The 22,903-nt window shown below is 42.8% G+C and overlaps 2 long non-coding RNA genes across 2 annotated transcripts in view, besides 3 other annotated features; one reads left to right on the forward strand and one right to left on the reverse strand.

The window, feature by feature from the left end:
- LOC124901002 (uncharacterized) overlaps nt 1-22,903 on the forward strand; it is a 76,128-nt gene that overhangs the window by 14,454 nt on the left and 38,771 nt on the right. The gene's annotated exons all lie outside the window — the stretch shown is intronic.
- Nucleotides 1,617-2,242: an enhancer, noted in NCBI's record as "H3K4me1 hESC enhancer chr5:72525833-72526458 (GRCh37/hg19 assembly coordinates)". NCBI's record gives its function as "activates a minimal SCP1, AML or CMV promoter by ChIP-STARR-seq in naive H9 embryonic stem cells {active_cell/tissue: H9 hESC(naive)}" and the evidence as "EXISTENCE:reporter gene assay evidence [ECO:0000049][PMID:30033119]".
- Nucleotides 4,499-5,447: an enhancer, noted in NCBI's record as "H3K4me1 hESC enhancer chr5:72528715-72529663 (GRCh37/hg19 assembly coordinates)". NCBI's record gives its function as "activates a minimal SCP1, AML or CMV promoter by ChIP-STARR-seq in primed H9 embryonic stem cells {active_cell/tissue: H9 hESC(primed)}" and the evidence as "EXISTENCE:reporter gene assay evidence [ECO:0000049][PMID:30033119]".
- Nucleotides 17,891-18,391: an enhancer, noted in NCBI's record as "OCT4-NANOG-H3K4me1 hESC enhancer chr5:72542107-72542607 (GRCh37/hg19 assembly coordinates)". NCBI's record gives its function as "activates a minimal SCP1, AML or CMV promoter by ChIP-STARR-seq in naive and primed H9 embryonic stem cells {active_cell/tissue: H9 hESC(naive and primed)}" and the evidence as "EXISTENCE:reporter gene assay evidence [ECO:0000049][PMID:30033119]".
- Nucleotides 18,105-22,903, reverse strand: part of LOC105379031 (uncharacterized) — a 28,435-nt gene continuing 23,636 nt past the window's right edge. Inside the window, exon 2 of the long non-coding RNA XR_948470.3 lies at nt 18,105-18,267. This is a non-coding gene — a long non-coding RNA (uncharacterized LOC105379031). The remainder of the gene's footprint in view (nt 18,268-22,903) is intronic.

Below are 22,903 nucleotides of genomic sequence, written 5' to 3' on the forward strand. Positions count from 1 at the left end.
TAACTCAGTACGTTGTATTTTCCGCTATTCTTCACAAGCATGTCCTGTAAAAGAAGGGAGATGTGGGGGCTACCTTAATATTTCAGGCTCCTTGGGTGCTTTAGAGGGGTTTCTGCAGAAGTATCGGTACATGCCACAGTTGCACAAAGCTTCAAACATATGTGACTAAATTTATGTGGAAAAAAATGTCCTTAATTATCTTACCAGCTATGAATGAATTTAGCACCAAGGAGATATGTTTTTAGTCCATTCTCTGTCCTAACTCTGATCATGCAAATGCCTTTGCTTTTTGTCTCACAACGTATGTCCTGAATTGTATTTGTGGTAAGTTATAAGCATCTTGAGAGTATAACTCTATGTATCGAGTACATCTAGGGTGTAGCAGAGGAGCCCTTCCACCTCTCCCAAAATGTACTTAAACACTATTAATAGTGATACACCTGGCAGTCCAGTTAAATAATTCTAAGTTTCATTTGGGGGAAATATAGTATACTTTTCATTAACAGTAGAGGAAAACAGCTTTCGGAGTGGTCTCTCTACCAGTGTAAATAGCAGTCATTTATTTTAAAGTTAGAGGAAAATCTATGCCTGTCCTAATGGAAAGAAGTTAGCTTCATTCATGTGGTGTCTGGAAAAATGATCTTGAATGGCTTCTTGATTAATTTTTGTCTTCATAAAAATATTATTTAGAAAAAATAAACAACTGTGAAGACAGTTGCAAGTAAAGGACTACAAATAAAACAATATTTCTTTCTGACATGTAAAACCCATCTCCAAATTGCTATTTCATCACATAGACATGCATTGTCTCATTAATGTCCCAGTAGCTGCATCTTTAAAATGCCTTTGTTTCACAATGTGGACACAATAAAAAATATGAGGACATAGATCTCATTTCTGTGCCTAATAATGTGGTGATTCTGGTTGAGCTGCTGTAGGCTGGAACTCAACCACACAACCTGGAAAAACATTCAGGGAGTCTGGAACATAGAAAAGTCCCCAATCCTGTTTGGCTGGAATTTGAAGGGTGAAATGAAAGCTTCTGTTCTGTGTAAATCTGTCCAGATTTAGTGTTTTACAGCATCAGGCAATGCTATTGGTGCCAAGAACTGGCTCTGCCTAGAGGCCCCACCAAGAAGCGAAATCCCTTTGCTCAGAAGTCAGGTTACATTACAGAAAGAAATGAATTTTAAACATTCCATTGTAAATACCATTTATGCATGTCATCTTTCACATGTAGAGTGGTTTCATTTTAAAAGTAAAGCTTGCTCCTGTTTTGGAGGTTCTAAATAAAAATGAAAAGAAAATAGCATTTTAGTTGGCCTTTAAAAGATCATGTGTGACCAAGCTTGGCATTTGTGGTTGTGACATAAAACTGTATTTTTGCAGTTTTAGAATGCAAATTTAAACCTACAGTATACACTCAAGCAAACCAACAAATATCTATCTATAAACATATAAATAGATACACATGCATAGAGACATGTATATGCATACACACATTGTGCACAGCAACACTGGTATAAAGATCTTTACTTCTTTTTTATTATAGCTTTCATTGTCACTTATTGTAACATTTTCCACAAAACACATGTTTCATTGCTGTAGTAGTTCAGGCAGTTGTGAAAGATGGAAGGGGAGGTGAGGGGGATGTGCATATCTTTGGACAAAGAGGGAGACCCGAGGGTGGGCAACATCTTTTAGCTTTTTCCATCTGAACTTTAATTTGCTCCCTAAAAGGAGAAGCTGAGTCCATCAAGCTAAACAGTGAAGCCTGAGATTTGCTTTAAAACTCGAACTCATTCTCTTTGGTTTGGACAGGCTACTGCTAGCCCTCGCCCCAGACTGTCCGGTTCTCAGGAGGGTTTGCGCGGCCTGTTTGCCAAGCCTGGGTAGGCGGGACAGGGGGATTCCCAAGGCCGATCAGATTCTATTTACTGCCCTCTTCCCCAACCCCGGGGCCACCTCTGAGGCATGAACCCAGAGACGCGCGCCCTGGTCTGGGAAAGCAGGACCGCTGCGCCCAGCGCCTCAGGGGTAGAGGCGGGAACAGGCCCGCGGTCGCTTTGCTGGCGGGGAAGGGCGATCTGACGATCAGGGAGTTGCGCCCCTCTCTCTGGGCCTCGTGAAGGAACAGAGCAATTACAGCGCTGGGCCGGCCACGTAGTCCTGGGGCTAGGTGGGCCCAATGCTCCGGGCCGCGGGGCTGGAGCGCGGAGGCTGGAGAGGGAGGAGGACCCTCCGCGGCTCCAGGCCTCCCAGCTGGAGGGGCTCACGCCCGGGACTCCCCATCAGACCTTTGAGGGGGAGCTTCTCAAAAAGCCCTAAACTCCTCGAGGATATTCTCCGAGTGCTTCTCCTTACCCAAGCGCTGCTTCCAGACTCCACGCCTCTAGAACTAGCTGGCGTCCACGGTCGGCCAGAGCAGTTAGGGGGCTGCGCTAGCAGGGACATGTGGGGCAAAAGAGACGTATTTTAAAACCCCCAAACAAATGTGCCCTGAAACTCACGGAGCCTGAGTTTCTGGGTTCCTCGCTTGCACTGCCCCTTCCGAAGCCCTGCGAGGGGCGCTAGTAATCCTGGATTCCGAATTGTGGGTTCTCAGTTTTAAAGGGTTGCCCCCGCCCCAGCCCCCTTCTCAATTGTCTAATCTCAGGCCTGCAACTTCGGCGTCCGCCAAACGCCGGCCTTGCCGCAGGTGCAGGACTCCTGCAATGTACTCTGGGGTTACCAGTCTGTTTGGGGTGCGGCCTGCAGGCGTAACCATGGAGTAACTTCGGGAGCCAAACTGACTTTTGCGGGGCACGGAATCAGACTTCTTGCGTCATTTTCACACCTCCTTTTTTGGTTTGTCTCGCCTATTTTGAGCCCATCAAGGAAACAGGCCCACACAGCAGCTTAAGCAAAAATGTCATAATGCTGGTGAGGTATGGATTCGATGGAAGTTCTCACTTTCCTAAGTATCATTTTTTTCTTGGTATAATAATTTCATCTCTTAGCCAAGGCTCTGAAACGAATGTCAAATTTCATGGCTTTTACGTGTTGTTGAACTCCATGTAGCGTGCTGAAATATATGCAGTACTAAATCTCAAAAACAAAACAAAACCAAAACCCCAAACCAAAGCCCTCTCTTTAGGGCAGGCTGATTAAGCAGCTGGAGAGAGAAGAGGGAGGATTGCAGAATCATGGGAAAGGAGCAGGAAGGTCTCTCTTGCTGTCATCAGAATATTCTCCTTCCCACCTCCTGTCTTCTAGGACAAATAAATAAAGCATTGATTACCTCTAAACCTCAGACCTAATTTGAGAAGTGTGATGCAGGACACATATTCAGATACCATCACCCATTTCTGCACAAAGAAACAGTTCACTACTTCAAAAATCCACATTTTATGATTTCTTGAATTTTATACTCAAAGGAGGGAGGTGGAATAGGTCATCCTTATACAGCAGAGAAACACAATACCTTTCCTCATTTAGAATATTCCCAACTATTCTCTGGTGAAGAAAACTAGTAGGAGTTTACAATTTAAAAAACAAAACAAACCCCAAACAAACAAAAAATCCACCTACAATTATACACTCTATTTTGTATGTTAATCTTTGACAGGCTGAGAGTATTTTAACAACACTGGTCATCAGAAGTCAAATGAAAATAAATAGATGTTCACTAAATAGCATTCTTTCTCTATTTGGTGGCAATGTTGCTGTCATCGGTTTTCCCCAAAATCATGGGGGTGGCAGGAAGGAGAGAAAAACATGGGCATGTTTGAGTTTTGCCTAAGTCTGAAACTTTCGATCTCAAATCTTCCTCTCCATCACAGTCACGTCTGGTGAACTCAAGCTGGCTTTACTTTACTTACTAACCTGGATTCCTGCTGTATAGACTCAGAAACCCGGGAGAGTTTAGGAGACCGCCGAGGCGAGCACTTTCTCTAACAATCGCGTGCTGCAGTCAGGAGAGCCCAGGTGGCTGCGGCCGCCCTTAGGAGACCAGTGATCATCCCAGCCACCTCCCTGCCCAGCCCCGGGCCGAACTGGAAAACTCTTAACTTTGGGCTTTATTTAAAACACTCGGGTTTCGAAAGCCGGGTCCCCTCCGCAGGCCAGGAGGCCTCAGTGAGCATCCTGTGCTGCGTGGGGAGGGCCTGGCAGCTGGCGGATCCGTCTGGGCTGCAGCTGCAGGGTCGGGAGCTCTTCTTGGACTCGGCTCCTTTCAGAAAACTCTTTTCTTGTCGGATGTGGTTTCCCTTTAATTAATCACTCATGCCCGCGTGTCCACCGCGCCGCTTCCCCACTCTTCCTCCAGCCCCGCATGTGATCTCTATTTGGAGGCAGGAGAGCTGGTGGAGCATCTGGGGTTGCCGCGGAGGTGGTTCTGCCTGCCGCTGGGCTTCGGGCCGCCGCCCAGAGACAGAGCGATATCCTCCCAGATAGGCCTTCTGGAAGATTCACTGCCCTTTCCGAACTGTCTGGCCTGTTGGCCATGCTGGCCTCGAGGCTCAGCAGTTCCAGGCCTCAGCCTGGGTGGTCCAGGTGTTCAGGGTGGTCTCGAAGTGCATATTTCCTTCAGGTTTCCTCCCTTCTCTGCCCTCCTCCCCATCCCCGCTTAGGCGCTGGCATCCCGCTGACACCAGCCAACTTTTGCACCCCTATCAAGGATCTCTCAAAGAATATCTTGGCCACCTCAGGCACTGTGACTTCCTGGAGTTCGCATGACACAGGGCAAATAGCCAAGCTCCCAGGCAGTTGGGCCCCCGGAGGTTGGAGGCCTTGGCCTGTGCAGGCTCCTTTCCGGAAAGCCCTGGCCCCAAACCCCAACATCAAGCCACTCTCAGGATTGCGGGGCAGTGGGCAAGACCTGATCCAGAGGGTGTGCATTAAGCCGTTGCCCTCGTTGCGTTTAATTCTCCCGTCACTCCCCAGTCACTAAGGGAGGCCTCCTACTCGCGCCTCAGCTTCAAGGGCGGATGTGGCTGGGACCACCCTGGGACTCGGGTGTCTCCAAATGTGGCTCAGGCCGCCCCACGCCGAACGAGGTGGGATCAGATATTCCCGCTTGTGAGTGTTGGTGGGGCTGAAGAGATCACACGCGGCGGGGTGTGGAACTTCGAGGGGTGTCACGGCCAGGGCTTTGCGGCCCCAGACGTCCCAGCGGCTCGCAGGGGGCGCCAGGTCCGCGCTTCCCCTTGGGTCTTCGAGAGGCGTGTGCGCAGGACGCTGCCCTCTGTTGCCCAAAGCCCGCACCAGGCTCCTGGGCTTCCGCGGGCTTCCGCAGGCCTCAGGCGAGGGGCGGGGACGCCACCCGCACGCTCCCGAGCGCAGGGAGGGCTGTCGCCGAAGCGGTGACCCACGCGTGGACCCCGCCCGCGCTGGGCCGGGCCGGTCCCCTGCCCACCCGCAGCCCTGCTCGGCCGCGTTCCCAGCAGCCGGGAAAGCTTCCTCCCTCGGTCACCGATCCAGGCCGCTGGTCCAGCTGTCAAAACAGGGGGTGTCTCTTTCATTCTGGCTCACAAAGTCCCAAAGGGGAACAGGGGGCCTTAATGCTTGTGTTTGGACACAAGCAATTATCCCTAATTATTCTTTTTCTTTTGAGCCTGCCCGTCCCGCCGGCGAGCCCGCCGCGGAACAGGCCCCGTAATCCTCCCTGGTCGGCGGATCTCAGTGGGCTCTGTGCGGCCCGAGGCTCGGGCGCTTTCATGTCACTGCGGGTTTAGAGCTGATTCAAACTCATTGCGATGGGGGAATTAACCCCGGGGCCCGGGCTTTCAGGGGCCTCTGATAAGAGATTATACGTGTTGATGGCAAGCTTTTCTTGGCAAAATGTTTTCAAAGGGCTTGGAGTTGTTAAATCAAAGCGCCATTGAATTGCTCGGGACCACCCCCTCCCCCGCCTCTTGCCCTTCCCCCACCTCCATCTTTTTCCCTTCATCCCTCCTCCCCCATCACCGCCCAGGACTGCCCAAGGCGAGCGGCCCAGCCTCCGGGAGTGGCGAGTCACCTTCCTTGGTACGATTTTCCCCCGGTGCCTCGCCCGGGAAGGATTGTTTTTGTAGGTGCTCCTGCTGCTGGGCACTTTGGTACCCCTTCCCTTCCCCGCCCCTCCCCGCCCCTTCACACACACTTGCTCTGGTAAAGAAAACATGTCCCAGATGAAAGACGTTTTTTTCAAACGTACATGTGTTTTGCAGAAAACGGAGGTGACAGGGTGGGATAACGAGGAGAAAGGAAGGGTGGCTTTCCTGCCTCCCCCACCCCCGAAAGGTCATCGGAGTCAGAGGGGTAACCATCGGGTTAAAAAGTATTGTGGGCAGAGTTCAGATGTCCGGTGAATCGCACGGTTCTGCCCTGGGGGAGATCTGCCTTCCACCCCCACCCCCGCGGAATGACAGAAAGAGTTGGGAGGACCGTGGGGATGTAGATTCTGCACTGTGGAAAGTCTTTATTCAGGGAACTGGGTTCAATTATAAACTGCAAAGGATTATTGGGTACTGTGCTGGGCCCTGCTTGGGTGCAGTGGGAAATGCAAAATTTGGACAAGGGTTTACAAAGCCTTACAGGGGCTAGGTAAACACCTCCCCTTGAAATAAAACAAGATATTTTAAGTGCCAGATATGTGAAACTGGTAACAATGTTGTGCTTGTCATCTTCCCCACCCCCCACCCCACCCCTCGCCCAATATATATCACATATACCACACTAAACTGGTCAATTTCCACAGCTAGACTTCCTGGCTATCCAGACCTTGATCCCCTCTTCACCTCTCCCCATCCCTGGGATTGGAACCCTGCCCTCTACCCCCATTTGGCTGGTCTGACACCCTGCTTGATTCCTGCCAATCCCTGGAAGTGGCACAGAGGTGGAACAGTATCCTGTTCTTTTTTTTTTTTTTTTTCTTTTTTTTTTTGAGATGGAGTCTCACTCTCACTCTGTTGCCAGGCTGGAGTGCAGTGGCACGATCTTGGCTCACTGCAACCTCTGCCTCCCGGGTTCAAGTGATTCTCCTGCCTCAGCCTCCCGAGTAGCTGGGATTACAGGCTTGGGCCACCACGTCTGGCTAATTTTTCTATTTTTGGTAGAGATGGGGTTTCACCATGTTGGCCAGGATGGTCTCAATCTCTTGACCTCGTGATCTGCCCACCTCGGCCTCCCAAAGTGCTGGGATTACAGGCATGAGCCACTGCACCTGGCCTATCCTGTTCTTTTTACCTTGGCCAGTGGTTGGGTCCCTGCTAGGAATAGATTGGTTATTAGGAGAGCTGACTGCCTAACTCAATACCCACACCCTGTACAGGATTGGACCCCAGGGCACACAACCTGCTGCCCAGGGTCACTAGAATCCTGCACTGCACCAAGCTTCTAGGCTAGGAGCTTCTCACCCCACTTTCTGTTTACCTTTTCCTTCCCACTCCTGCCACTCTAAGGCCCAGCATGCTTGCCCTGTGAACCTGCTCAAGTTATAACAAAATTTGATGCCAAGTTGGTACCCTATTTTGTTTCCTGGCTTCCTGAAGGATAAAGTGGTTCCTTGATTTATTTTCTGCTTCTTTCATAGTTAATGAGATATGATGGGCCCTGTGGGAAGCAAAGTTCAATTATGACTTTTTGTTTTACATATCCATGGAATCCTTGGCCCGGTGTCTCCCAGTAACTGTCTAATATGTAGCTTTGTCTTTGTAAGCTTGTATTATCTCTCCAAGATACAGATGGTTTTTGTGATCTTAATCTATTTCGTTGGTAATATCTTATTTAAATTTTTGAGTCTCATAGCCAATGAAAGAAAAAATAGACAAATGGGACTGCAACAAACTAGAAAACTTCTGCACAGCAAGGGAAACAACAGAATGAAGAGACAACTCACAGATTGGGAGAAAATATTTGCAAATCATACATCAGATAAGGGGCTAATATCCAAAATATATAAGGAAATCAAACTACCCAGAAGAAGAAAACAAATCACCCTATCAAAAAATGGGCAGAGGACCTAAATAGACATTTTTCAAAAGAAGACATACAAATGGCCAACATATATATTTTTAAAATGCTCAACGTCTCTAATGATCAGAAAAATGCAAACGAAAACCACAATGAGATATCACCTCACAACTGTTAGATTGCTATTATCAAAAAGATCAACGATAACAAGTCTTAGTGAGGGTGTGGAGAAATATGGAACCTGTACAGCATTGGTGGTATTGTAAACTAGTACAGCCACTTTGGAAAACAGTATGGAGGTTCATCAAAAAATAAAAAACAGGATTACTATACCATCCAGCAATCCCCACTCTGAGTATATAATACAAAGGAATTAAACTCAGTATGTTGAAGACATGTCTGCACATGTTCATTGCAACATTATTCACAATAGTCAAGATACAGGAACAGCTGGGCATAGTGGCTCATGCCTGTAATCCCAGCACTTAGGGAGGCAGAGGCAGGCAGGTTGCTTGGGCAACATGATGAAACCCTGTCTCTACAAAAAAACCCCACAAAAATTAGCCGGGCATGATGGCGCATACCTGTAGTCCCAGCTACTCGGGAGGCTGAGGTGAGAGGAACCCTTGAGGCCAGGAGGCAGAGGTGGCAGTGAGCCGAGATCACACCACTGCACTGCAGCCTGGGCAAGAGAACCAGACCCTTCTCAAGCAAACAAACAAAAATATGGAAACAACTGAAGTGCTCGTCAATGGACAAATGGGTTTAAAAAAGTGGTATATATACACAATGGAATACTATTCAACTTCTTAAAAACAGGAAATTCTGTAATTTTCAACAACATGGATAAACCTAGAGGACATTATGCTAAGTGCAATAAGCCAGACACAGAGAGACAAATAATATAATCTCACTTATAAGTGGAATCTAAAACATCGAATTCATAGAAGTACAGAGTAGAATGATAGTTCCCAGAGGCTGGGAGCAGGGGAGAGGGGAAGATGGGGAAAGGAGAAACATCGGTTAAAGGTACAAAGTTGCAGTGAGACAGGAGGCATAAGTTCTGGAAATCTACTGCCTAGTATGGCAAATATAGCTAATAGTTATATATACTTCAAAATTTCAAAAAGAGAGGATTTTAAGTGTTCTCACATAAATAAATGATAAATATCTGTGGTAATGGGTATGTTAATTAGCCTGATTTGATTATTCCACAATGTATACATGTATAGAAACATCACATTGTACCATATATATATATATATATATATAATTTGTGAATAAAAACATAACTTAAATAATACAAATATATTTTTGAGGCTGATAAACAGAACTCACTTATACTTCCTTTTCTCATGCTGTTGTCTGGTTTTGGTATCAGTTATGCTAAACTCATTCCATTTCAATCCACAATTTTTTTTTTTTTTTGGAGACCAGGTCTTGCTCTGTCACCCAGGCTGGCAGTAGTGGCGAGGCCTCAAAATCCTGGGCTCAAGGGATCCACCCAGCTCAGCCATCTGAGTAACTGGGCTTATCAATCTACAAATATTTATTGACTGCTTCCAGTGTTCTAGGCACTTTCAAGAGTGAACAAAACAGATTTAAAAAAGCAAAAATTTCTGCCTTCCTTGAATTTACATTGCAGTAGAGAGAGACACAATATTTTAAAAGGTAGGAAATAAAAACATATTATAGCATGTTGGAAAGTAATAAGTGCTATTGTAAATTAAAGCAGGCATCAAAAAGATCAATAACAAGTGTTGGCAGGGATATGAAGGGATTGGAACCTTCATATACTGCAGGTGGAAATGCAAAATGGTATAGCCACTTTGGAAAACAGTCTGGTAGTTCCTAAAAAGGTTAAACATAGAGTTAACCATATGACCTAGTAATTCTACTCCTAGCTATATATGCAAGAAAAATAAAAACATCTGTCCACAAAAAAGCTTGTACACAAATATTTATAGTAGTATTATTCATGATAGTCAGAAAGTGGAAACAACCCAAATGTTTCCATTTCAATTCACCCATTTAAATTATATAATCCAATGGTTTTTAGCCAAATTTCTATTGGTGAATGGAGAAAAAAATGTGGCAAATCCATACAATGAAATGTCATTCAGTCATAAAAAGAAATAAAGTAGTGATTCCTGCTTGTATTCTGCATGTATTCATACTGCTGATACATGTAGATACATGCTACGTTGATAAACTTTGAAAACATAATGTTAAGTGAAAGAAACCAGTCACAAAGGGCCACGTAGTATACGACTTCATTTAGATCAAATGTACAGAACAGGCAAATCCATAGACATGAAAAATAGATTGGTGTTTGCCTAGGGCCCGAGAGGAGGAATTTGGGGAAATGGGGATTGATAACAATGTGGTTTCTTTTAGGGATGACAAAAATGTCCTAAAATTGATTGTGGTGATGGTTGCACAACTCTGTGAATATACTAAATACCCTTGGATTGTATACTTTAAATGGGTGAATTGCATAGTGTGTGAATAAATGGAAGGTTGGGTTTGGTGATTAGGAGTATGGCAGTGGTGGTGCTGGGGTTACTTGAGATTTTTTTCACAGAGAAGGCCTATTTGAGAACATGACATTTAGGTAACAATCTGGATTGAGGGCATTACCCAGGCAGTTGTCTGGAGCAGAGAACTTCAAGCAGAGGAGGCAGCCACAGCAAAGACTCTGGCTATCTAAGACACAGTGGGTAGGCTGGCAAGGCTGGAGCGAAGTGATGGAGGAGGTAACAGATGAGGTCAGAGATGAAATGGAGGGGGTGCTTCGGAGAGGGAATGTGGGTGGTATACACCTTCTGCCTCATGGGCCTGTGAAGGTTTCAGTAGAGGAAAAGCATGACACAACCAGCTTTTTGAAGGACTTCTGATTGCAGAAGGGTAAGAATGGAGACCAGCCAGGAAGGCTACTGCAGAACTGCAGGGAAGAGATAGAAGCCTAGTCCCGGGCGCTAGCGGCAGAAGTGAAGTGGGATGCTTTTTCCCTGAGGCTGTCCTGGAGAGGTGATCCTCTATTCCTGGTTTACAAGACCAGAGAAATAAATTATACTACAAAGCCATCTTCATTTAAGTAGTTTGTTTTCAATTAGGCTGATAAGTGGCATAACTGTGAGGATAAGTGGTCAGATTTTAGACATACCTTGAAGATGAAGCCAACAGAATTTCCTGATGGATTGGATGAGGAGTATAGGAGAAAGAAAGCTTTAGATTATAAGGCTTTGGAGTTGAGCTACTAGAAATACACTGTGATCATTTGGGCTGGGGAGAACTAGGTTGGCATATGTGGGGAAAGATTAGTACTTCAGTTTTGGACAGGTTAAGTTTCAGGTTGCAACTGACTATCCAAGTGGAGATTTCTATCAGGCAGTTGGATACATGAGTATGGGGCACAGCAAAGAGGTACGGGCTGGAAACAGAAATTTGGCAATTGGGCCAGGCACGGTGGTTCATACCTGTAATCCCAGCACTTTGGGAGAATGAGGTGGGCAGATCGCTTGAGCTCAGGAGTTCGAGACCAGCCTGGGCAACATGGTGAAACCCTATCTCTACAAAAAATACAAAAATTAGCTGGACATGGTGGCATGCACCTGTGATTCCAGCTACCCGGGAGACTGAGGTGGGACGATCACTTGAGCCCAGGAGGTTGATGCTGCAGTGAGCCGAGATTGCTGCTCTGCACTCTAGCTTGATGACAGAATGAGATCCTGTCTAAAAAAAAAAGAAAAAGAAAAAGAAAATAATAAAAGAAAGAAATTTGGCAATTGTTGCATATTGGTAAGAGGTAAAGCCATGTGACTAAGTGATAACAACAAAAGAAAGAGTATGGATAGAGAAGAGGATGAAGAGCTGAGTGCTGGTGGCTCCCCAACATTGAGAAGTCAGGGAGGAGATGACGAACTAGCTAAGGAGACTGAGGACTGCATAGTGAGGTAAGAGGAAACCAGGAGAGTGCAGTGTCCTGGCAGCCAAGTGAAGAAAGGGTATCAAGGATAAGGGAATAGTTGACTATGTTTAAATGCTGCTAAGAGAGCAGGTACAAGTTCATGAAATTAGCAATGTGGAAAACTTGAAGAAGAGGGGATTTCAGTGGGGTGTTGTAGAATGAACACCTGATGGGAATCTTTATTTCACAGAGAGTGGGAGGAAAGGATTGAAGTGAGTGCAGACCACACTTTGAAGGATTTTTCACACAAAGGTGAGCAGAGAAATTTGGTAGAGCTGGTGGGAGACATGGGGACAGGAGAAATTTTTTTTTAAGATAGCAGAAACAACCATATGTTTATGTGCTAATGGAAATTTGGAAATTTCCCATCCAGTAGAATGGGAAAGTTAATGATACCAGAGAGAGAGAGAGACAGAGGGACAGAGAGAGAAATTGCTGGAGAGCTGTCCTTTACTAGCCCTGAGATAGGTAAAAGGAAATAATATCTAGTTCCACATAAGTAATAGGAAATAATATCTAGTTCCACCAAAGTGGGGAGATTGAGTTCAGATGGGAGCATGAGTGGCTCATTCACTTGGAGTAGCTGCTAAGAAGACAACATGGAGGCCCATCGGCTAGGAGGAGGGCAGAGGTGGTGGTAGGAATTTATTAAATTCTCTTCTGATTGCTCCAGTTTCCTCAGTGTGATGGGAAGCAAGGTTTTCCATGAGTGAGAATGTGGGGAGCGGTATCAAAAATGTGAAAATAAATAAAAAGTAGGACAGTAGGAGATAAATGGATTAGGAAATACAGTACGTCTGCCAGGGAGCATTAGGGCTCACTTGAGGTTTGTGATCCTGAATTTAAAATGAGCCCGTTAGAGCATTAAGGGCTCACTTGAGGTTTGTGATTCTGAATTTAAGATGAGTCCATTAGATTGATGGCATGTTTTTCTTCTGTAGGCTCAGGTTAGATGGAAAGTTGAATTAAATAGGACCATAGTTTGGCCGAGTAAGTATAACTAAGGGAAAGAGGGGCAGGAGTACTGAGGACTTTCAGCTGGGATCACTGTCAAGATAGAACATCAGGGCATGATGGGTGCTGAAAAGGTGGTAGGAGGAAGGGAATGGAAGGGAATGGTAGGTCAAAGGGTTTATTAAATACAGAGTGCTGAAATAATGAGCTGGAAAGATAAGAGGAGGTGGTGGTCAGTGAGCGGATACATGAAATTGAAGTTGAGGAGGGTGCCAGTTATGGAAGTGAGTGGCTGAGATGGGGTGGAAGATAACATCATTGGAGGAGAGGAGCTTAAGGCACTGAAGGTTTAGGCTACTGGAAGGGTTGCTGAGTGTATGTTGGAATCACCGAGAATTAAGAGAGGAGTAATACTGGAAAGAGTGATAGTGAGGAGGGGGCTAAAATAGCCAAGAAGTGAGAGTGAGCTCAAGAGTCCATAGAGAAAATAACGGGACATTTTCTCTTATTTTTGGAACAGTTTGTGTAATAGTTGGGTTACCGGTTCCTTGAATGATTGGAAGTTTTTAAACCAATGATATTGTTTTTTAATAGTTAATAAGCTATTCAGGTATTTAGTTTCACCTATAGCTTGGAAAATTTATATTTTTCAGGGGTTAATGACCCTTTCCTTGTAGCTTTCAAATTTAGTGGCATAAACTTGTTAAAGATTATCATGCAATTTAAAAATATTTTCTTTACCTTTATGTATACCCCTTTTAATTCACAATTTTTCTGTATTTGTACATTTTCTTCTTCTTAGGTTAATCTTAAGTCTTAAAACTATTTTTTTTCTAAAAACCTATTCTTAGCTTTGATAATTCTTTTTAAGTTTGACTTTCTATTTCTTTCATCTATTTCTCCTCTTGTTTTATTTCCTCCTTTCTGCTTTCTTTGGATTTATTCAGTGAAGGTGAAATAATGATAAATTATCTCCAACTTTGAGAAGATATTTATTTCACCCTGACTTTTGACCTGATGGTTTAGCTGGTGGTAGGGCTCTGGTTGCCAGCACTTTGCATATATGATTCCATTGTCTTTTAGCTTCTATTTTGCTGCTGAGAAGTCTGCTAAACTAATCACCCTTAAAAATAGATTATCTGTCTTTCTTTCTGGTAGCTTTTAAGATCTTTTCTGTATCTCAAGGGTTTTTCTCTTTCACTATGATACACCTAGGGATGACTTCATTTTGATTTATATTGTAATTTCTGAAAAAATCAGTAATTTGCATTACCTCTGAAAAGTTTCTAGCTATTTTTAAAAATCTCTTTATTGAGATGTATTTTACATTCCATAAAATTCAACCATTGAAAGTATTCAACCATTTAAAGTTTTAGTATATTCACAGAGTTGTGCAACCTTCGCCACATTATCTTTAGAATATTGCTTTTCCTTCATCCATTTTATTTTCTCTTTCTGGAAATCCTTTTAAACATGTTAGACTATTGGAGTTTGAACGACTAATATGTAACACCCCTTTTCCTCCACTGAAAGTCAGAGTTAATTAAGAGATAGGCAAGGAAATTAGATAGATGGAAATAAAAAGAACAGCTTTATCAGTAATAAATACTGGATTTGAGGGTGTGGCTTAGATGAGTGACAACCATAGATCTTTCAACACCAAACCCTAGAGTTTGAATTACCCACACCCTCTTCCCAGGCAGCACTGAATCACCATGTGTCTCCACATGGAGGTTGCCCCTGTGAAATGTATGGTGAGAGTTATAGCTCAGAAAGCATGTTCTCTGTGGGCAGGCTGGTTCCCAGGAGGAGGCAAGGAGGCAGGGCCTGTTCTATCCCAAACTCACCAGTAAGATAGGTTACTTCGGCAGAAGGAAGCTGCAGCTGTCACGCTGACTGATGTCCCTCTACACACCTGCAAAGCTACACAGATTATTGTATAAAGCAAACACTATTCTGATACCAAACCCAATCAATATAAATAAACAAGAACTACAGGCATTTCAAAAATGCAAAAATCAGAGAAACAGAATTGAACATTATATATTGAATACAAAGAACAATTACATAAAATATATTGATCTAAAAATTCAGGGGTCTTAAAATTTAGAGAAATGTATTAAATACAGTAACGTAAATGTGTATTAATAAGAGTCACTAAGAGAGAATATGATCATTTTCATAGATGCTCAAATAAAAACATTATAGGATGACAGAAAACAAGGATACTTCCGGCTGGGCGCAGTGGCTCACGCCTGTAATCCCAGCACTTTGGGACACCGAGGCAGGCGGATCACCTGAGGTCAGGAGTTTGAGACCAGCCTGGCCAACATGGTGAAACCCCATTTCTACTAAAAATACAAAAATTAGCCAGGTGTGGTGACACCTGCCTGTAATCCCAGCTACTCAGGAGGCTGAGGCAGGAGAATGGCTTGAACCTGGGAGGCGGAGGTTGCAGGTGAGCCGAGATCATGCCACTGCACTCCAGCCTGGGTGACAGAGCAAGATTCCATCTCAAAACAAAAAAAAAAAAAGAAGGATACTTCCGTAAGCCAGTATCCAAAATTATACAAAGATACGTTTGTCGCATTCATTTGAAAAATCCAGAACAACGTTGGCCTCAATAACATTAATATTATTTTGGAAATTTTGGGTAGTACAAGATAAGAAATAAAAATGAAATGAATAAATATTTCAAATAATCAATCAAAACATCCTTTTTGGTAGATGACTGTATATAAAGAAAAGACAAAGAAGACAACTGGAAACTGTTTTGGCATGAAGGGTAAACAGAGTCAAATGTAAACTCTCCCCAAATTAATGTGTAGTTTTAACACAATCCCAATTGAAAAATTCAACACAATTTTCCCTGAAATGCTATAAAACTTTAATAACATTGATAAGAAATATAAGTGAGTATGAATATCAAATAAAATTTTGAATAAGAGAAATTACGGGGACTATCAGCTCTAAAAATGTTTTCTAAACAACAATAATTAAAATAGGATCCAAATACTGAAGTAACATAGATATCAATGAAACAGAATAGAAAGTCCAAAAATAAATTTATCATATATAACAATGCAAAATGTAATTTGTGATAAAGAAATTATAACCAAGGAATATATAATTGAATAAACCCTGTTAGGATAGCATATGGAGGAAGAGGATTTATGTGTGTGTTTCTACCCAACCCACAATTTTAAGAGTAGCTAAATAATTAAATTAAAAAGTTTAATTCTTTAGAAAGAAAAATCTCAATCACATCTATTAAGTTAATAAAAAAAGTTATAAGAAAAAGCATTGTCCAATATAATCCAGAAATTACTATGACGTTTTAAAATATGTATATGACATATAGAATCTGACATTTTTGGAGTGGAATGTATGACTACCTAGTGTAAAAATTTTCAGTGATGTTTGAAATTTTTCACTTGTCGTTCTCTTTTCTGTTTTTATTTTGAGATGGAGTCTTGCTCTGTTGTCCAGGCTGGAGTGCAATGGCGCGATCTCACCTCACTGCAACCTCCACCTCCCCGGTTCAAGCGATTCTCCTGCCTCAGCCTCCTGAGTAGCTGGGATTACAGTCGTGTGCCACCATGCCCAGCTAAATTTTGTATCTTTAGTAGAGATGGGGTTTCACCATGTTGGTCAGGCTGGTCTTGAACTCCTAACCTAGTGATCCGCCCGCCTCGGCCTCCCAAAGTGCCAACACTCATCACCACTCTTGCATCTCAGAAAAAGTACAAGAAAATATGAATGAATATTTGTTAGCTCTTTGGCGGAGTAAACACATTATATGCTTTGAAGCAACAGAAGAAATCACAGAGAACAATTAACAGACTTAACTCTATAAAAAACTTTACACTTCTGTACAAAAATAAAATAAGAAGACATAGGGAAATATATTTATAGTATGTGTGCACATATACACACACACCAACCAGAAATAGAGTGAATATATGTAATTACATAATGGATTCCCTCAGAGTGGAAAAATAATTTATGTTATATTCATACAGCGGAATTTATTTAGCCATTGAAATGAATAAAATGGATCTTAAAATCTGTCAAAATGAGTTTTTAAAAAGCAAGTTGCAGGATGCTAAGTTTAGCATATTATCAGTCACATAAAGTTTAAAAACTAATGAATGTGTGTGTATGTTTATGAGTGTGTGAGAAAAAGAGAGAGAGAAATATAGAGAGAGATGACCAAGGACTAAAACTATTAAAATGTGGAAGGGAAAGATGTAAAGCAACTGTAAGTGGTAAATTACCTCTGGAGGAGAGGGTAGGAAATGGTAACTGGGAAGGTTACAAAGGGAGCTTTAAATATATCTGTTACTTTTCCATATGTCTGAAATATTCTGCAATTAAAAAAACAGGACTTACAAGTTGCTAAGGAAGAACTCCTAAAATTCCAAAATATGTATGTAAAAACAACATGACTAAACAATTTATAGGAAAGGAAATATAGAAAAATGTATAGCCTCCTTAGTAATCAAAGAAGATTAAAATGAGACACAAATCATATCTATTAAATTAGTTTTAAAAGTTTTTTACAAGAAAAAACATTGTCTCATGTACTCCAGAAATTAGTATGATGTTTTAAATGTATATACAAGATATAGAATCTTATATTTTCAGAGTGGAATATATGACTATCTAGTGTAAAAATTTCAAGCAATGTTTGAGATTTTTCACTTTTTTCTTTCCTTTACAGTTAAGACCACACTCATCACCACCCTTGAATCTCAGGAACAAATATTTCTTTTAAAGAACTTCAAACTTTCTGGAAAGAAAGGAGACTCGTGAAAGTAGCTAAGGACAGAGTCTAGATGTTTACCAGATAACCAACTCAGTACTTAAATGCTCCTCAAATAAAACTTCTAATTCTCAAATATCCACCAAATCCTCAAACTTTTCCCAAAACATTCAAGAAAATTCATAATCCTGCAAATCAAATCCAGACTGTGCCGAGCCCCACCCCCAATTCACCCATTAGCGGGTATCAGCATGCACATGCGCGTGCGCGCGCGCGCACACACACACACACACACACACACACACATCCCAGAGTTTACTTGTGGTTTTGTTTTTAAGGACATGTCAGTCAAGACAAAGCTCGTCTTTTGTGAAACAGCAGGCCTCTTCCACAACAGGGCCTTACTCTAACCCCCCAGTGACTGTCATCAACACTTCACTTTTTCCGTTTGTTTTTCAAAAGAATGGTCGGGCATCAGTGGAATAGAGATGTCGAGGCAGCGGGAGGCATTTTTATTTTTGTTTTTGTGTTTTCACAAGGGAGCCCTAAATACATTAAATTTCTGGCTCTCCTCAGTTCCTGAAGCTGTTTCTTTGGGACTCCATTCTTCTGTGAAGTCCTTTGTCCTCCAGCTCCTCCCAGGTGGCTAAAGAGAGAGAGAGCAAAGAAAAAGTTGCACTTCCTTATAGAATCTAAATATTTGGGTTCCTGAGTAAACGGAGGCATGTTTGTGTGACAGTTCTCACCAGTTCATTCCTAGTGGTGATTTCAAGCTAAAATAAAAGAGAAGTTAGCGGTTTGCAGGTTCAAAGATGTCTAAAAGAGAATGGCCAGAATGTATATATGGATTTAATAGGAGGATTCAGGATACCAGAGGGTGAGTAAGGAAGATCTTAGGTGCGCTGAAGCTGAGCCAAGAACTCAATGCAGTGCTTCACTTGAGAAACCCTTGCAGCTCAAGTGAGGAACAATGGATGGGATAGTAAGAGCCAACTCTCCCAGAGGCTGTGCCATGGGCCAGACACTACACCAATAACTTTATGTGGATTCATTCATTTGGTCTTCCCAAAAACCTGTGATGAAGATAGCATGATCACTCCCATTTTACAGATAAAGGGACTGAGGTCCAGGGAAATTACACAACTAGCACAGGACTGCAGAGCTGGAAAGCAACAAGGCAGGGCTTTCACCAGGCACTAGGCATTTCAGCTAGAAGCCATGCTCTAAGTTCCTATGCTGGAATCTCCTGTATTTGACCAGAAACCAGACGGGAAGAGGAGAAAAGAGAGTTAAGCTGAATGTTCTTGGCGAATTACTCCCCAGTATCTTTTAGTTCAGAGCACGGGTTCAACACTATGGCATTTACTCTGTGCCCGCGTTGTAAGGAGCTTTGGGGATGCACGGGTGAGGAGAGCTTGCACTATGCTCTCCAGGGCCGTGCACCCCAGAGAGATGGACAGATTTATATATATATATATATATATATATATATATTTTTTTTTTTTTTTTTTTTTTTGAGACAGAGTCTCACACTGTCGCCTGGGCTGGAGTCCAATAGCGCGATCTCAGCTCACTGCAACCTCCGCCTCCCGGGTTCACGTGATTCTCCTGCCTCAGCCTCATGAGTAGCTGGGATTACAGGCGCACACCACCACACCCGGCTAATTTTTGGTATTTTTAGTAGAGATGGGGTTTCACTATGTTGGCCAGACTGTTCTCGAACTTCTGACCTCGTGATCCACCTGCCTCAGCCTCCCAAAGTGCTGGGATTACAGGAGTGAGCCACTGTGCCCGGCCATATTCAGAATATTTTTAACATACATTTAAAATTTTAGAACAGTTTTAGATTTACAGAAAAATGGCTGTAGTTCCCATATGCTTTGCATCCAGTTTCCCTTATGATTAATAACTCACATTAGTGTGATATATTTGCTACAATGAATGAACCCACGATACATTATTATTAACATTATTATTAACTAAAGTCCATAGTAAATTTTATTCAGTATACTTTATTTCCTAGTTTTTCCTAGTGCCCTTTTTCTGTTCCAGGACTCCATCCAGGGTAGCACATTACATTTAGTTGTCATTTCTCCTTCGGCTCCTCTTGGCTGTGACTGTTTCTCAGACTTAAATTGTTTTTGATGACCTTGACAGTTTCCAGGCATATTAGTTAGTATTTTGTAGAATTCCCCTCAATTGAGATTTGTATGTTTTTCTCATGGTTAGTGATATGTTTGGTTGTGTCCCCACCCAAATCTCAACTTGAATTATAATCCCCATTATCCCCACATGTTGTGGGAGGGATCCAATAGGAAGTGATTGGATCATGGGGACAGTTCCCCCATGCTCTTCTCACGATAGTGAGCTCTCACAAGATCTGATGGTCTTTTCTTTTCTTCTCTTTTCTTTTCTTTTTTTTGAGACGGAGTCTCACTCTGTCACCTAGGTTGGAGTGCAGTGGTGCGATCTTGGCTCACTATAACCTCTGCCTCCAGGGTTTAAGTGATTCTCCTGCCTCAGCCTCCTGAGTAGCTGGGATTGCAGGCACCTGCTACAGCTAAATTTTGTATTTTTAGTAGAGACGGAGTTTCACCAGGTTGGCCACGCTGGTCTTGAACTCCTGACATCAGGTGATCAATCCGCCTTGGCCTCCCAAAGTGTAGGGATTCCAGGCCTGAGCTGCTGCGCCCAGTGACTTGATGGTTTTATAAGGGGCTCTTCCTCCTTCACTCAGCACTTCTTTCTGCGCCTTATGAAGAAGGTGGCTTGCTTCTCCTTTGCCTTCTGCCATGATTGTGTTTCCTGAGGCTTCTGCAGCCATGCTGAACTGTGAATCAATTAAATTTCTTTCCTTTATAAATTACCCAGTCTCAGGCAGTTCCTTATAGCAGTGTGAAAACAGATTAATACAGTTAGACTAGGGTTATATGTTTCTGGGGAGGAAGACCTCAGAGGTAAAGTGCCATTGTCATCTCATCATGTTAGGATACACACTACCAACATGACTTACCACTGTTGGTGTTAATCTTGATCACCTGGCTGAGGTAGTATCTGTTAGGTTTCCTCACTGTAAATTTACTTTTTATTCCCTGTGTTTCCACACTGTACTCTTTGGAAGGAAGTCATTAAGTGACTTCTCACACTTAGGGAGAATAATCAGGAATTTTGTTAGCCAATTGTTAAATCTTTGGTAGCTTGAAGTCAGCCGTGGTGGGAATATTTACATCATGGCAATCAGCAAACTCTGCAGATCTGGGCTTGTTCTGGGGAGCTGGTTTCCTAGCCCACCACTGCATGTGTGGCTTGGGCTGTGTCTCAGAAGATGATAGGTGGGCAGGTAGAGAGGCATTTGGATCAAGTGGCTCACATGGTATAAATGAACTCTTGGAGGCAAGAGGGAAGGTGCTGTGCTTACAGGACATGGATTGGGATTAGAAGAGGTTTGGCACAGACATATAGCCACCTGGGAACCACACAGAAACCATAATCCAGAGGGTTTTAATGTAAATAGTGTTGGAACCTTAAAGGACCTACCTTTGTTTTTTTCTTTCATAGTAGTAATAACTACCATTTATTGAGTGCCTACTATGTACAGGTGCTTTTTAATATATAAAATTCCTTTCAATCACCACAAACCTACGGGGTGGATATTGTTATCCCATTTTACAAATAAGAAAACTAGAGTTAAGTAGCTTATTCGAGAATACAACCAGCAATCAGCAAAGCTGAGATTCAAACCTCCTGTGTAACTCCAGCCACGCTGTTCTCTCTGCTTAATTTACTTCCTTCTTCCAGGAGCATTGGGTTACTAGTAGGATCTGTTTCAAGATGGTAGAATGGCTATTGATGGTGAGATTCCAGGACTTGATTAGTGATGAGAGTGCCATTTGCTGTTCAGGACATTCCATCACCGTTCATGCTCATGGAAGTGCATGAGAACCGGGTTTCACTTTGGGTCAGGCAAACTATATTAACATTGTAACTTCTAGTCTTCCAGACAAACTATCCACCTCAGTAATGTTTTATTTTTCTTGTGGGTGTATCGTTAAGGGAGCAGAAATTATGATATCCCTAAACTTTGTATCTTAATTGAACTCTGTGGTATCTTTATGATTTAATTTAATAGGTGACTTCAGCCATTCTTTTCCAAGGCAATTTTTAAGAAGCAGACTTATAGAAACTCTGGACTACAATTCATCATTAGAGTTTTGGTTAACTCTACAAAACTGTATGATCTACATGCATACTGAACAAACGCATATAACATGCAATATATTTCACTTAAAAAGCTTAAACATAAGAATCACTTAGAATTCATGTCATATTTAAGGCACATGAAATGCTACTTGATCTGTTCCATTTGAGTCATTCAGGGAGTTTAAAGCTATTTTAGGATAAATAATCTTAAAGAAGCTCTAGAAGGTTTGAATGGGATTTGCTTAAATAACAGAGAATATTATATTGCTTTAGTAAACTTTAGTTACTATTTTTAACTAAGACTTCATTGGTCTTATTAAGGTCTGGGTAATATTAGAAACTGTTGTTAAATGATGGTAATGCTATTTTGACTCTCTCCCTCTCACATCATTGAGGCTCTTTAAACTGTACAACTAGCGGTGGGGTAGTGCAAAAGTTACATTCAAGGGAATTTTGTTTTATTTGGTCTACTTCCCTTAACTTCCCTGTCCCCAGTCCCAGCTGCCTCTTTTACTCAGAGATCTGGCCTGAGATGATTGGACCAAGAACAAACACCTGCCCCAGGGGGGAGCCCATTTATAGACCAGCTGAGCTAATCTTCCTCCCCAGAGCATTTATGTTTGGAGAAAGAGAGACTGAGTCAGCCGGCTGATGGATGGTGATGGACCAAATAAAGGTCATACAGAGTCAGGGTTGGAGTCAGTCCATAAGCAAGTTGAAGTCATGAGGGGTAGACCACGGGAAGCAGGAGAAACTGCTCTGTGCAGAGAAATGGGAGAACAGAGAAAGAGCCCCAGTTCAGGTCCCTGTAGCCAGATGTCACTGGCTTTCTGGCCCTGGATGCCTGTGAGATTGCTTGTTATCCATTGTATTCAGCTCTCTAGGTGGGTTTCTCTCACTTACAACCCAAGTGATTCCAGACTAAGACAACTCCATACACCAAATGGCAAATACAGGCTACCAAATAGTTCCCCACCTCTTCGGTATCACTACCAAGTCACCCAGACTTCAGAGGTCTATGGGGCAACATAGGGATACATGGAGGAATAGGCAGGATGGAGGAAATGAGTATACAGCACACT

The sequence above is a fragment of the Homo sapiens genome, chromosome 5, assembly GCF_000001405.40.
Source record: "Homo sapiens chromosome 5, GRCh38.p14 Primary Assembly".
Lineage (NCBI taxonomy): Eukaryota > Metazoa > Chordata > Mammalia > Primates > Hominidae > Homo > Homo sapiens.